The sequence below is a fragment of the Homo sapiens genome, chromosome 1 (genome assembly GCF_000001405.40).
Source record: "Homo sapiens chromosome 1, GRCh38.p14 Primary Assembly".
Lineage (NCBI taxonomy): Eukaryota > Metazoa > Chordata > Mammalia > Primates > Hominidae > Homo > Homo sapiens.
Window position 1 is genome coordinate 207,498,373 of NC_000001.11, and position 14,461 is coordinate 207,512,833.

The 14,461-nt window shown below is 38.5% G+C and overlaps 1 protein-coding gene across 1 annotated transcript in view, besides 1 other annotated feature; it reads left to right on the forward strand.

The window, feature by feature from the left end:
- The window catches only part of CR1 (complement C3b/C4b receptor 1 (Knops blood group)), a 145,609-nt gene that overhangs the window by 2,216 nt on the left and 128,932 nt on the right, over window positions 1-14,461 (forward strand). Inside the window, exons 2-4 of the mRNA NM_000651.6 lie at window positions 7,532-7,711; window positions 8,342-8,441; window positions 13,197-13,282. Of these exons, the coding sequence (NP_000642.3) occupies window positions 7,532-7,711; window positions 8,342-8,441; window positions 13,197-13,282 (366 nt within the window). The remainder of the gene's footprint in view (window positions 1-7,531; window positions 7,712-8,341; window positions 8,442-13,196; window positions 13,283-14,461) is intronic.
- Window positions 1,188-1,247: an enhancer, noted in NCBI's record as "active region_2447". NCBI's record gives its function as "activates an Ori minimal core promoter by ATAC-STARR-seq in GM12878 lymphoblastoid cells {active_cell/tissue: GM12878}" and the evidence as "EXISTENCE:reporter gene assay evidence [ECO:0000049][PMID:35858748]".

Sequence of the window (14,461 nt, forward strand, 5' to 3'; positions counted from 1 at the left end):
ACAAAAAATAGCAGAGGAGCTAGGATTGTTTTGTTATTATGAGTTACTCACAGTACCCGTAAAGTGGTATAGTGCTATTTGAAAGAGGACTTAGATTAGCTGCAAATAGATATTGCAAATGTAGGACAACCCCTGAAAAATGTGAAAAAAAGAACTATAATTTATATGTTAATAAGTAAGAGAGAATTGCATCATATAAAATGCTCAGTTAAAACAATAAAGATGGCTGGGGACAGTGGCTCATGCCCATAATCCCAGCACTTTGGGAGGCTGAGGTGGGTGGATCACCTCAAGTCAGGAGTTCAAGACCAGCCTGGCCAACATAGTGAAACCCTGTCTCTACAAAAACACAAAAATTACCAGGGCATGATGGTGGGTGCCTGTAGTCCCAGCTACTCGGGAGGCTGAGGCATGAGAATCGCTTGAACCTGGGAGGCGGAGGTTGCAGTGAGTCGAGATCGTGCCATTGCACTCCAGCCTGGGTGACAGAGCGCAACTCCAAATCAAAAAAAAAAAAAAAAGAAACAAACAAACAAAACAAAAAACAATAAAGGGCAGGAAAAGAATGGAAGACAAAAAATAGAAACAGAGAACAAGAGAAAAAAAGCAACAAATAAAAACCAGTAACAAAACTAAAGCAACTATATCAACAATCATTTTGAGTGTCAATGATCGAAATGCACCATTTGAAACAGATCATCAGAGTGGATCAAGAAACAAGACCCAACTATATACTGTGTACAACAAGACCGTTTTAAATATAGACAATATATATGAAAAGTAAATGGATAAAGATATACCATGCTAATGCTAGTCACAGAAAGCAGGAATAGCTGTGTTAATTTCAAACACAGCAGACTTCAGACCAAGAAAAATTATTAGGGATAAAGAGGGGCATCATATAATGATAAAGGGGCCAATTATCCAAGAAGACGTAACAATATCCCATATGTATGCACCTGATGGAGAGACAAAATACGTGAGGCAAAACCCATAGAACTGCAAGGAGAAATAGATGGATTTACTATCATAGTTGGAGACTTCTATGATATCTTTCTGATATCAGAAAAGGTGCTGAAGTCTCCTTATCAGAAATGGGCAGATTCAGCAGGCAGAAAATCCGTAAGGACATACTTGAATTCAACAGCACCATCAATCCACTTGGGTATAATTGACATATATAGATGACTTCATCCACAACAGCAGAGCACATATTCTCCCGCTTACATTCATGGGGATAGACCACATTCTGAGCCATAAAATAGTACACGAATTAAGCTTTACCAGGCAGTGTTTAATATAGGGTGGACTCTGGCGCCCTCACGTGGTCCTCATATAGGATCTGGTTTGGTTATCCCTGCTAGGTAAAGGTGCAAGATAGAAGGGAAGTTCCAATTTGCTTTCTGTGCTTTGTGGTGTATTTTGGTTTACATATGCTCAGATGAGTGGATGTGTGATTTATATTATCTATTTTAATCTAAAATAAGCTTCACATTTGGACAGGTAACATCAAAAGTGTCCTACACAGAAATGCTGGGTGAAGATCCCAGTAATAAAACCAACTCCAGAAAACAAGAAAATGGTAGAGTTGACAATCCCTCTCACCCTCTCCGCAAAGACACATGTATACACATTTTTTGTCAGAGGCATTAAGTAGAAGAAATGCTGTCAGTCTAATCACAACTGATCACAACTCGATGAAACCAAAAAACCTAGAAAGTATCATGAAGACTGTCGAAATAAGCTTTACATTCACTATTGTGAACAGAGAGACTCAATGTGACTGTTTTTTGTCCCGTTAGATGTTAGCTAATGATTGTGCTAAGTCATGATGATTAACAAAGCATTTAAAATATTTATTTTATCTGTGTTACATTTCAAAAATTTATATTGAGGCATATAATTTATGTTCGTGTACATATATAATTTATAAATTTATATATTTGAAAGGGCATGCTCTTTTTTTAAACTGATAGAGGTGCCTAAGCAAAGCAAGTGCAAATCTATTCCTTAAAGGGTAAGTATGCAGAATGGAAAGCAGAGTGTTCTTTGGGTTGACAGCTCATATTGCAACAGACATGAAAGTGATGATGTGTTAATTGTGCATATAGCACAGAATACATCAACTTGCTTTGAATGGAATATCTGAACCAGGAGAATGTGAAAGTGGGCTGAGTCATACAAGACAAAACCCGAAATGAGATAACAATACATACCCACTAGAATGACTAAAATGAAAAAGATTGACCGAGCCAAGTGTTGGCGATAAGGTGGAGTAACTGGAATTATAATATACTGCTATTTGGCAGGTAAAATTATAACATTAACTTTAGAAAATAGTTCAACAGATTCTTAAAACCTTAGACACACACTCAACATTTTACTCTTAGGTTTTTACCCAAGAGAAATGAAATCATATGTCCACACAAAGACTTGTACATGAATTTTCATAGCAGTTTTGTTTGTAATAGCCAACACGTGGAAACAATCCAAATGTCCCTCAACAAGTAAATGGATAAACTAAATTAAGATATATTTATGCAATTGAATATTACCCAGCAACTAAAGGAAACAATTTGTATACATGCAGCAACCTAGATGGATCTCTAATTATGCTGTGTGAAGGCTAAACCATAAAAAAAAACCTGAGTGATTTCCTTTATACAATAGGATATAAATGAAGTGATTTAGGTTATATGAAATTTTAGAAAGTCAAATCAATCTGTAGTAAGAGAAAACCACCTGAGTTATTTCCTTTATATGATAGGATATAAACGAAGTGATTCGGGTTATATGAAATTTTAGAAAGTCAGATCAATCTGTAGTAAGAGAAAACACATTGAAGGTTGCCTAGAGAAGGAAGTGGATGTTTGGATGGATTACAGAAGGGCATGAGGGAACTCTGTGTGGGTGGGATGTATGATGGAAACGTTTATTGTCTTCATTTTGGTGATGGTTTCACAACGCATACATATGTTATAAGTAATCGAATTGTACACTTCAAATACTCATCAATCATTGTATGTAATATATCTTGATAAAGCTATAAAAACTTTTAAAATTATGGTAGGTCTTCAGTTTGTGGATTTTATATTAATATATTTGTCATAGGAACTAGTCACAATTGAGGGATTGGTAATAAAGGAGAGAAAGGAAACTACATCAAGCTTTCTTTGTTGAAGGCTCATATATTCCTTTTTTGAGCTATTATACAACTTTGCTTTTTATAATTACCTATACTATTCATATACTACTATGCAGGTAAGAATATTATGTAATTAAGGGGAAGGAACTTCTTTCCAAGAATGGTTCATTCAATTTGCTTTGTTACTTTAGGTCTCATTCCTTCCTCTCGTTGCAAGCTTTGCTGTGACATTTACCCTCTCTCAATACAGCTTTTGGCGCTAGGCACTTCACATGGAATCTCTTCCTTTGTCCGGCATCAATGGATAAGACAAATATCAAAATTGTATTTCATCCCACATATCAACTAGAGGAAAGGTGAATGCATAACACTGAAAATAACAGCAACTGTTTTACTCAGTGTTTTTTTTTTTTACAGTATCCTCAAAGTGCTGTTATCTATCAAAATCAGCTGTGAAAATTTTTAAAAATAGACTCCTGGGCCCTAACCTAGACCCACTAAATCAGAGATTTGGGGGACATAGCTTGGATTCTTGATTTTTTTGAGTTTTATAAGTAATTCTTCATTTTTTGTTCATTGCAACAAATATGCATTGAGTTCTTATAATTGAGTGTTAAGCACCAGGACTAAGTATTAATTTAGAGGTACAAAAAAACACATCATCTCTTGCCTTTAAATTATGCATATCTAATATCTATTGAGAGAAATAGATACTTCTAAAAGCACACAAAGATAAAAAGCACAAATTGTAATAACAAACAATTATTGATATGAAAGGAAAAGCAAAGTGTCGGACTAGAAATTATTATAGGGTGGGGCAGAGGGAAGTAGTTTAGATTCCAAATCCCTAAGAGGGTCAGGGAAGGCTTCAGATGAGATTGGGTGTGTTCAGGGTGGTATGGCCATAGGCAGGCTGGGGAAGGCTTCTATAAGAAAGTGACATTTTAGCAGATGCCTGAAGGAAGAATTGAAGTCAGAGTGAAGATAAAATTGCGTCACATAGAAGGAATGTCATAGACGGGAAAAATGTGTGTCTTTGGGAAACTGAAAAAGGGGAAAGGGCCACACCTTGGTGAGGGGACCAAGTGGCACAAGATGAGGCAGGGAACATAGACAAGGGCTTCCTTGCTTAACAACTGCTGGCTTAATAAAGCAAATGTGTGATGATGGATACAGGCTGTCTGGGAAAAATAAGTAAGAAATATGAGCTTTCTTGGAGCATCATCCTTTGCTTCAGTAGAAAGCACAGAGTTAGGCTTCCAATTCTGACTAAAGCCATTGACAACAGGGAAAAGGCAACCTTAGGAATTCTCCTCTCTGTCCGGGGTCCCGTGGGCACTATGATGGAGCTCATGAGATGCAGATGAGAAGTCCCAGGCTGAATCCGGGGCACATTCACTCAGGAGAGCTGAGGTCACCAGTCACTGAGGTCATCCAGTGCATTCCCGACAGCATAGGCTCATTCCAAGCTAGTTCTGCAAAGGAGCAGAAAATGAACTCTTGGAAGCAAAGCAAGCACTCCCACTTTAGCGGAATAATCGAATTTAACTCTTAGAAGTCCCCTTACCCTTTTCTAAGGGTAATAATCGTAAGTATAATTTATGAAGTGCCTTCTGTGTATGTGGCAGCATATACTACTTTTGATTCTCCCTGCAAACCTGGTAGGAAAATATTATTCCCTTTATGAAGATGAAACTGAGGCTCAGCAAGATTAAGCGGTTTGCCTAAGACCTCATAGCCACTAAGTAGAAGACATTGGGTTCAAGATTCAATCTATGAACCCAACATTTTTAATACTATATACCATTCTCTTTTTGTATTAATTTCCTATTGCTGCTGTAACAAATTTCCACAAACTTAGTGGCTTAAGACAACAGAAATGTATTCTCTTCCAGTTCTGGAGGCTGACGTCTAAAATAGATCCATAGGGCTGTGTTCCTTGTGGAGGCTCCAGGGGAGCAGGGGTTTTCTTGCTCTTTCCAGCTTCCAGGGGCTGCTTCCGTCCTTTGGCTCTTGGCCTCCTTCCTCTACCTTCCAAACCAGCACCATAGTGTCTCTGAATATCCTTCTTCTGTCTCCTTTCACCCTCTTGCCTCCCTTTTATAAGGACCCTTGTGATCACATTTAAGGTCCACCTAGATAACCCAGGATAATCTGCCCATCTCAAGATTCTTAATCACATCTGCAAAGCCCTTTAACCATTACAGGTAACAATCACAGGCTTCAGGGATCAGAACATGGATATCTCTGAGAGGTCCTTACTTAGCCTACCACACCTTTCCATATAGATTCTCAAAATTTTAGCTGAGCCTAATAAGGGAGTTCATTACCATTAGGGTCCGGTTTAGTAGCAAGTGCTTCCTTTAAGTGAAAAGGTGAAAGTTGTCCACTTAATAAGGAAAGAAAAACATTGTATGTTGAAGTTGCTAAGACCTAAGGTAAGAAGGAATCTTCTATCGATGAAATTGTGAAGAAGGAAAAATAAATTTGTGCTAGTTTTGCTGTCACACTTCAAACTGCAAAAGTTACAACCACAGTGCATGCTAAGTGCTTAGCTAAGAGGGGAAAGGCATTAAATTTGTGGGCGGAAGAGGTGAACAGAAATGTGTTCTAATTGACAGCTGTCAGGTTTGGTACTATCTGAGGTTTTGGGTATCGGCTAATGTCTTGGAACATGTCCCCCAAAGATAAGTGGGTGACTACTGTATATTCAAAATAAGCATTTATATACTGGGGAGTAAATCTCCCATGTTATTTGTGTTTTATTTGTCCCACAAATAAAGTAAACAAAGTAGAATTTTAGGCAAGATTCATTTCTAGAGGCAGAGATATTTTATTATAATAAAGAAGGTTGCTCTACCATAAAATATAGCAATTTAAATTTTTATAATCCTAATAACCTCAAAATATATAAAATAAAAGATGGACAACATTATAAAAAGAAATAGACAAATGTACAATAAATAAAATATTTTAACACAACTCATTATCTAGTAAGACAAGTACTCCCCCCAAAATCAGTAAAGTATCTAGAAGATTTGAATAAATATTAACAGATTGGATTCACTGACCTTGTTACAAGAAAGAATTATACATGATGATAGGAGAGAGGAAGCCACAGCACAGGCACTTACTGATTAACTAAATTTTGAAGCTGTGAAATGCACCTTATCCTTTAGTGAAAGATGATATAAATAGCTTAGTTGCCTTCAAACTGGCAGAGACTTTTTGAATGGATGGATGCTGATTTTTTAAAAAGGAGCCCATTTCTGAGGCATCTTTTAAAGCAGGGGTCCTCAACCCCTGGGCCATAGACTGATACTGTCCAGTGGCCTGTTAGGAAATGGGCAGAACAGTAGGAGGTGAGCAGCCAAGCATTACTGCCTGAGCTCCACCTCCTGTCAGATTAGTGGCAGCATTAGATTCTCATAGGAGCAGAAACCCTATTGTGAACTGTGCATATGAGGGATCTAGGTTGCATGCTCCCTATGAGAATCTAATGACTGATGATCTGAGTGGAACAGTTCCATCTCAAAACCATTTCCCTGCACCCTCCATTCACGGAAAAATTGTCTTCCACAAAACCAGTCCCAGGTGCTAAAAAGGGACTACTGTTGTAAAGGAATAAGTCCCTTTGCTATTATTATTTTTATTAAGATGGAATCTTGCTCTGTCACCCAGGCTGGAGTGCAGTGGCACAGTCTTGGCTCACTGCAACATCTGCCTCCTGGGTTCAAGCAATTCTCCTGCCTCAGCCTCCCAAGTAGCTGTGCACAGGCATGTGTACAGGCAAGTGCAATCATGCTCTGCTAACTTTTTGTATTTTGGGAGAGGCAGTGTTTCACCATGTTGGCCAGCCTGGTCTCAAACTCCTGACCTCAAGTGATCCACCCACCTTGGCCTCTGAAAGTGCTGAAATTACAGGCATGAGCCACCACTCCTGCACCCCTTGGCTATTATTGAAGTGTTCTTTTTCTTTTTTGATCACATCTATGAAGTATATTGGAGAGAAAGAGAAGGTAGAATGGGAATTTCAACAGGGTCACGGTGGCTCACTCCTGTAATCCCAACACTTTGGGAGGCCAAAGTGGGTAGATGACCTGAGGTCAGGAGTCGAGACCAGCCTGGCCAACATGGTAAAACCCCATCTCTACTAAAAATACGAAAATTAGCCAGGTGTGGTGGTGGGCACCTGTAATCCCAGCTACTCAGGAAGCTGAGGTAAGGACAATTGCTTGAACCCAAGAGGCGGAGGTTGCAGTGAGCCAAGATAGCGCCACTGCACTCCAGCCTGGGTGATGGAGCCAGTCTCCGTCTCAAAAAAGAAAAAAAAAAGTATGGTAATTTCTCCATTAACTTTGATGCTTCTATGGTCTTGATCTCCAGGTCAATGCAATGCCCCAGAATGGCTTCCATTTGCCAGGCCTACCAACCTAACTGATGAATTTGAGTTTCCCATTGGGACATATCTGAACTATGAATGCCGCCCTGGTTATTCCGGAAGACCGTTTTCTATCATCTGCCTAAAAAACTCAGTCTGGACTGGTGCTAAGGACAGGTGCAGACGTAAGTAACTCTGGAGTGGGAACCCCCCTGTTAGTCAAACATCTGTAAGATCTGATTCAATTTGTTCAAATTTTGTAACTGAGTTGCATATGACAATTAGTTTGCCAAGGTGCAATACATATGAGAATTATTCTTGTAGATCATACCTTGTTACTGCTTTGAGTTCCTGGCGCCTTCATTAAAAGTTTATTTCATGAGAAACAGTCATTGCAGGACATGATTGAGGGAAAATCCCCATTCACTGGGGGTCTCCCATTTTCATGACTAAAATTAAGTAATGAATGACTTGGGACAAGAAAGAGAAGTGGATTAAATAACTAAAAGATGTGACAATCTTGGGCTTTGAGATCTTTGGATTATACCAGTTGAATTGAATTACAGATAATAACAAAGTTTACATTTTTCTGGGAGGCATAATATGGGGATGAAACAGATCTGAAAGGAAAGTTTTTTTTGAAAGGGAGCTGATCCTGAGGCAGTCTGGTGAGTTTCCTCAAGGTAGCAAAATCTGTGGAACCATCAGAACTGCGTGTGTTCCTCAGTAAGCTACAGGCAGGTTGAGACCTTATGTACTAAAAAAAGTTTTTAGTTTACTCTACTTGGCTCCAAAATTCTGTTTCTTTCCTGTAGGTAAATCATGTCGTAATCCTCCAGATCCTGTGAATGGCATGGTGCATGTGATCAAAGGCATCCAGTTCGGATCCCAAATTAAATATTCTTGTACTAAAGGGTGAGTTGGCATCTCTTGAACCAACATCTCTTGGTTCAAGAGTTCTAACACAGCCTTACTACCTTCTAGTCACATGTCAGAAAGGACAACTAAACTATTACCATCTGCTCTTTAACGGCTTCAACACAGATGTTTAGCTCCTGACTGAAATGAGCAAAGGTATGACAAGATCGGGGGAAAATCATCTGTATCCTTGCTGGAAACCAAGGCAGAGCATATATGAAAAGTGTGGCATTCATTGGGTGGGAAGGAAGAAAATGGGGGAAGAGTATAGTCAAAGCACACAAACAGCCTTAACGCAGAGGGGACATTGCTGGAAGAAAGGGAAGGCCATTGAGTAACTGTGTGAGAGAAATCTTAACGGTCATAGCACAAGTAGTTTGCTAGGGCTGCTGTAACAGAGTACTCCAAAACGGGTGGCTTAACACAAATGAAGTTTTTAAAATTCTGTTCCGGAGGCTGAAAGTGCAAAATCAAGGTGTTGGCAGAGCCATGCTCCCCTCTAAAACCTGTAAGGATGGATCCTTCTTTGCTTCTTCCAGCTTCTGGAGCCCCAGGCCTTCCTTGGCGTGTGGCAGCAGAACTCCCGTTTCTGTCTCTGTCCTCACATGGCCGTCTTCCCTCTGGGTCTGTGTCCTCACATGCTGTTTTCCTGTCTGTGTATGGCTGTGTCGAAAGTGCTCTCTTTTAATAAGGACACCAATCATAATGGATTAGCGCCCACACTAACGACCTCATCTTAACTGGATTGCCTCTCCAAAGACCATATTTCCAAATAAGATCACATTAATAAGCACTGGGGATTAAGACATCAATATATTTCGGGGTAAGGGGGACACAATTCTCATTCATTGCTGGTAGGAATGCAAAATGGTACCATGACTTGGAAAGATAATTTGGCAGTTTTTTATAAAACTAAACATACTCTTACCATGTTATCCAGCAGTTATCCTTCTTGGCATTTATCCAAAGGAATTGAAAACTCATGTTCACACCAAAAAAAAAAGAAATCTGCACACAGATGTTTATAACAGCTTTATTCATAATTGCCAAAACTTGGAAGCAATCAAGATGTCCTTTAGCAAGGGAATGGATAAACTGTGGTACATCCATACAATAGAATATTATTCAATACCAAAAAGAAATGAGCTATCAAGCCATGAAGAGACATAGAGGAACCTTAAATAGTGAACCTTTTTTCACCATCACTAAGTGAAAGAAGCCAATCTGAAAAGGCTACATAACATATGATTCCAACTATATGCCATTCTGGAAAAGGCAAAACTATGGAGACAGTGAAAATATCAGTGGTTGTCAGGGGTTAGGGAAGAAGGGGATGAATCGGAAGAGCACAGAGGATTTTGAGGGTAGTGAAACTACTCTGTATGATGCCATAACAGTAGGTACATGTCATAATAAATTTATCCGAAGTCATATAGTGTACAATACCAAGAGTGGACCCTAACATAAACTATGGACTTGGGGTGGCCATGATGTGTCAGTGTAGGTTCCTCAATTGCGAAAAACGTACCACCCTGGTGAAAGATGTTTATAATAGGGGAGGTTATCCATGTATAGGGGCAGGGAGTACATAGGAAATCTCTGTATCTTCTGTTCATTATTGCTGTGAACCAAAAACTGTGCTAAAACACAAAGTCTATTTTTTAAAACTGCATAGACATAAATACATGGGCATATGTGCATAAACAGACACGCACACAAATAAGTGCAGGTAAAACAGGAAATTTGAACAAAATCTGTGGATTATAACTGTTTCAATATCTTAATGTTGATGTTGCACTATTGTTTTGCAAAATGTTATTATTAGGGGAAAATTGAGTAAATAGTACCTGGGATCTCTCTGTACTATTCCCTGCATGTGAATCTGATTATCTCAAAGTAAAAAGTTTTTTTTTTTTTTAAAGTTCCTACTAAATTTCCAAGGGGATGGGCTTCCCCTCAGATCACTACCCCTTTTCAGGGAGCAATAAAGTAATCTTCCTTGGAATGTAGCAATCTGTAACCAATCAAAATGCTGTAACTATGCATGGTCCCATATGGAAAATATAATCCTGCTAAAATTTCTCTGTCTCTGCCTATGTAAGTGATACCTTATGTCCTCCACTTTGGAGTGCTGACCCCATTCATTTGGAGTTGGTCTCTTCCAGGTGGCTACCCTTAACCTTTGTGCTCAAATAAACTCTATCCTTAAATATATTTTCTGAATCTCATTATTTAAGGTTGAAAATGTGCTAACCTAAATAATTCACAGGATTTGTTTTTTATTCTCATTTTTTCCTAACCTATCCACCTGGTTCAAGGCACATAGATTAAGAAGGAAAATGGAAATGGGACTAATATCCCAGGCTTCACTGTCCCTCTTCGGGGCCCTGGGGAGGAGACTCCCAAAAGTCTAGACATGTTCACCCACATCCTGTATGTGGTTTCTGGAAACGAAATGATCATGGCTTTTCCTGAACCATGGCTTAACTTTGTGAATCCACAACTCTCTCTTCCCCAGGAGATCCAAAAAGGTAGGGTAGGATGTAAAGGCTTCAATCTGTTCAAGTGGATATGAGACTCCCTGGCTCCCCTTACAATAAGTAGCATGGATTTTGTCTCTCTGCCTTACTTCCTCCAAACATTCTGAATGAGAAGTGTTCAAACCACTATTTGTTCAATTGCTTAATCTACTTTGGGACACAAGTTTAATAAATTAAAATATTCTTCTATCTGTTCCCCTTGATCAGTGAACATAAAGTTATCTTTTGACTCATATTTAAAATGTTCAGTATTACAACACTGAACAATAGTATGGAGGAAAAAAAATGCCAACTTAAGTTTGAACTTGCTTCACCATTCCTATCCCAACCCCCATGATTAGAAAATCAAAAAGAACACTTTGAGAAATAACCTCAGTGGGGTCAAAAGCCAGAGGAGCCTCCAGGATCCCTTGTTCCTAAGACAAACAGGCAGGAGGAGGTGCACATATAGGATTGCAGCTGTTCTTCACTTCATTTGTTCACATACTTCATACTTGTGTTTATGTCTGTTGGCAGTGCAATAGAAAATGATTTCATTTTTGGTGGTATACTAGAAGGCATTAAAAAACAAAATAAGGCCGGGTGTGCTGGCTGTAATCCCAGCACTTTGGGAGGCTGAGGTGGGTGGATTACCTGAAGTCAGGAATTCAAGACCAGCCTGGTCAATGTGGTGAAGCCTGTTTCTACTAAAAATGCAAAAATCAGCCGAGTGTGGTGGCAGGCACCTGTAGTCCCAGCAGCTAAGGAGGCTGAGGCAGGAGAATCTCTTGAATCCGGGAGGTGGAGGTTGCAGTGAGCCAAGATCGCACCATTGCACTCCAGCCTTGGCGACAAGAGTGAAAATCTGTCTCAAAAAAAAAGAACAACAACAACAGCAACAACAAAAATCCCAAATGATATTGAAGTCATTAATAATTACATCATAATCACTAGTATAATGTAATAGTGCATCAAGTATCTTCAAAAGCACCCACTGTTCTCTCACTATTTATTTGATCTTCATTTGTCACTGTTTTGTTGTTTGAATAAAGCTTTATGTTGCCAGGTTTTCTTACATACTCATAAAGCAAAGTTCTCAGCTATACCAATAACCATGACTGTTATTTGACATTGCTTCATTCCTTCATGTATAGTACTATCAAGTTTGACCCTACCCTCACTATGACTAGTTTCACCCAACCATCTATCACAACAGAGAGTCTAACGTGAAGTAAAATAAATGTCATAAATTATTCCAAATTTATGGCACACTGTGAACAGTTTGAGACATACTAATTGAGAATTGCTGACTTTAGTATTTTAAGTATAAAATGAGTGTTCAATTCTTTTTGATCAGCCTGGATTTCCTTTGGTTCTAGTTATGTATCCCCTTCCTTCCTTCCTTCCTTCTTTCCTTCCTTCCTTCCTTCCTCCCTCCCTTCCTTCCTTTCCTTCTTTCCTTCTTTGCTTTCTTTCTTTCCTTTTTACTTTCTTTTTTTTTTTTGATACAATGTCTTGCTTTGTTGCCCAGGCTGGAGTGCAGTGGCATGATCAGCACTCACTGCAGCCTCAACCTCCCTGACTCAAGCGATCTTCATGCCTCAGCCTCCTGAGTAGCTAGGACTACAGGAATGTGCCACCACGCCTGGCTTTTTTATAAATTTTTTGTACAGACAGCTTCTCACTATATTGCCCAGGCTGGTCTCGAACTCCTGAGCTCAAGCAATCCTCTTGCCTCAGCCCCCCAAAGTGCTGGAATTACAGGGGTGAGCCACTGTGAAGGGCCTAATTTGGCCTTCTTTAATGAATCTTATTGATAAAAGCCCATCCATGCATCCATGCATCCATACTTTTAAGGCAAAGAAATACATACAACAGGACTGTATACACACATATACATGTATATATATGACAGCTTCCCTGCACTCAAGAACTTTGTGCTATCTTTTAAAAAATGAAATTTATAGGAAAAACTACAATTCATCTTAGATTTGCATAAAAAAGTGTCATAAGGTAATAAAGAAGAGAAAGCTCATCCAATTGAGAATGTATGAAAAAGAAAGTCAAAAAGTCCCAAGAAGAATGTGAAACTTGGGAAAGTGATAGATAGTCCTTTGATGAGTGTAAAAAGTCCCTCTGAATCCTATAAGAGTGTAATCTCTGGAAGTAGTAATTTAATTGGGTAGTTGACCTGTGTCTTTAGAATGTAACATTCCTTATTTTTTGCCTCTAGATACCGACTCATTGGTTCCTCGTCTGCCACATGCATCATCTCAGGTGATACTGTCATTTGGGATAATGAAACACCTATTTGTGACAGTGAGTTGAAATATCCCTTCCTATTTCTTTTACCGACACATTCTAATTTTTCTCTGGAATAATAAAAATCTTAACTGAATTCCTTCTGTGCAATCTGTCCTTCACACGGCTGAAGACTGCGGTAATGTTCTCGAATATTCCTATGGGGTTCCTGGCAACTCTTTCTTTAAGTTCTTCCTTATCCTGGGATGTGTCTTTTCTAATTCCAGAAGTTTAAATACATAAAAGCCTTCAAACTTGATTTTACTTCAATAAACGTGAAATTATGTTGTTTCTACCACCTCCAGTATAATAATCATCTTGCTTGGCAAATCAGTAAAGATTTTTAAAATTGATACTCTTCAAGGTTAGCGAAGCTGTGGAAGAACCTGGACTCTCATGTACCACGAGATCAACACATCCTCTTGAAAGGCCCCATGCACTATAAACCTCAGAAGTGAACATATATTTTAACCTACTTCTTAAAATTTATACTTAGGAAATAATCACACACTTTTTAAAGTAGTTTGGTATAAACTTTTCATTGCAGCATTATTTATATTAGTTAAAATGTTAGAGTAACCTAAATATTTTAAACTATGGTTTGGAAATAATCTACTAGTAGGAAAAAGATGTGTTCAAATGACCATTATAAAGAATTCCCTAAGAAACATAAAACAGCTATGCAGAATGAAAATAAGTATATCCATACACTGGCATGGTATTCAGCCATAAAAAATGACAGCATAAAGAAGCACTTAATGACTAGAAAGAGATGTATTTTATGTGGAAAAAGAATCAGATGAATGGCATATATGGCAAGATCTCACTTTATTAAAAAATAATACACCTATGTAGTGAGGGCCAGGCTGAGGCTGAGAGAAATACAGTGTATAACATCTTTGTCTTACTCTTCTCTTTGGATAACTGGACTCCTTTACTTTTCTTCTTGGTATTTAAAAATGTTACTTTTACTAGAAAGTTTAAGAGCTTCAGAATCTAAGTTTACAAATGACATTGGTCACACATTTATTGCTGTTTATCCACTTTAAGAAACAGTTTTGCTATTTTGTAAAACAAATTGGGAAACCTTCCATCTTATTTGAAATCTGTAATAAACATGGAATTGGAATAGGAATTTTCCTGGAAATATGAAAAAGATTAGTAAAATAGAGAAAACAAAAAATATAATAATACACC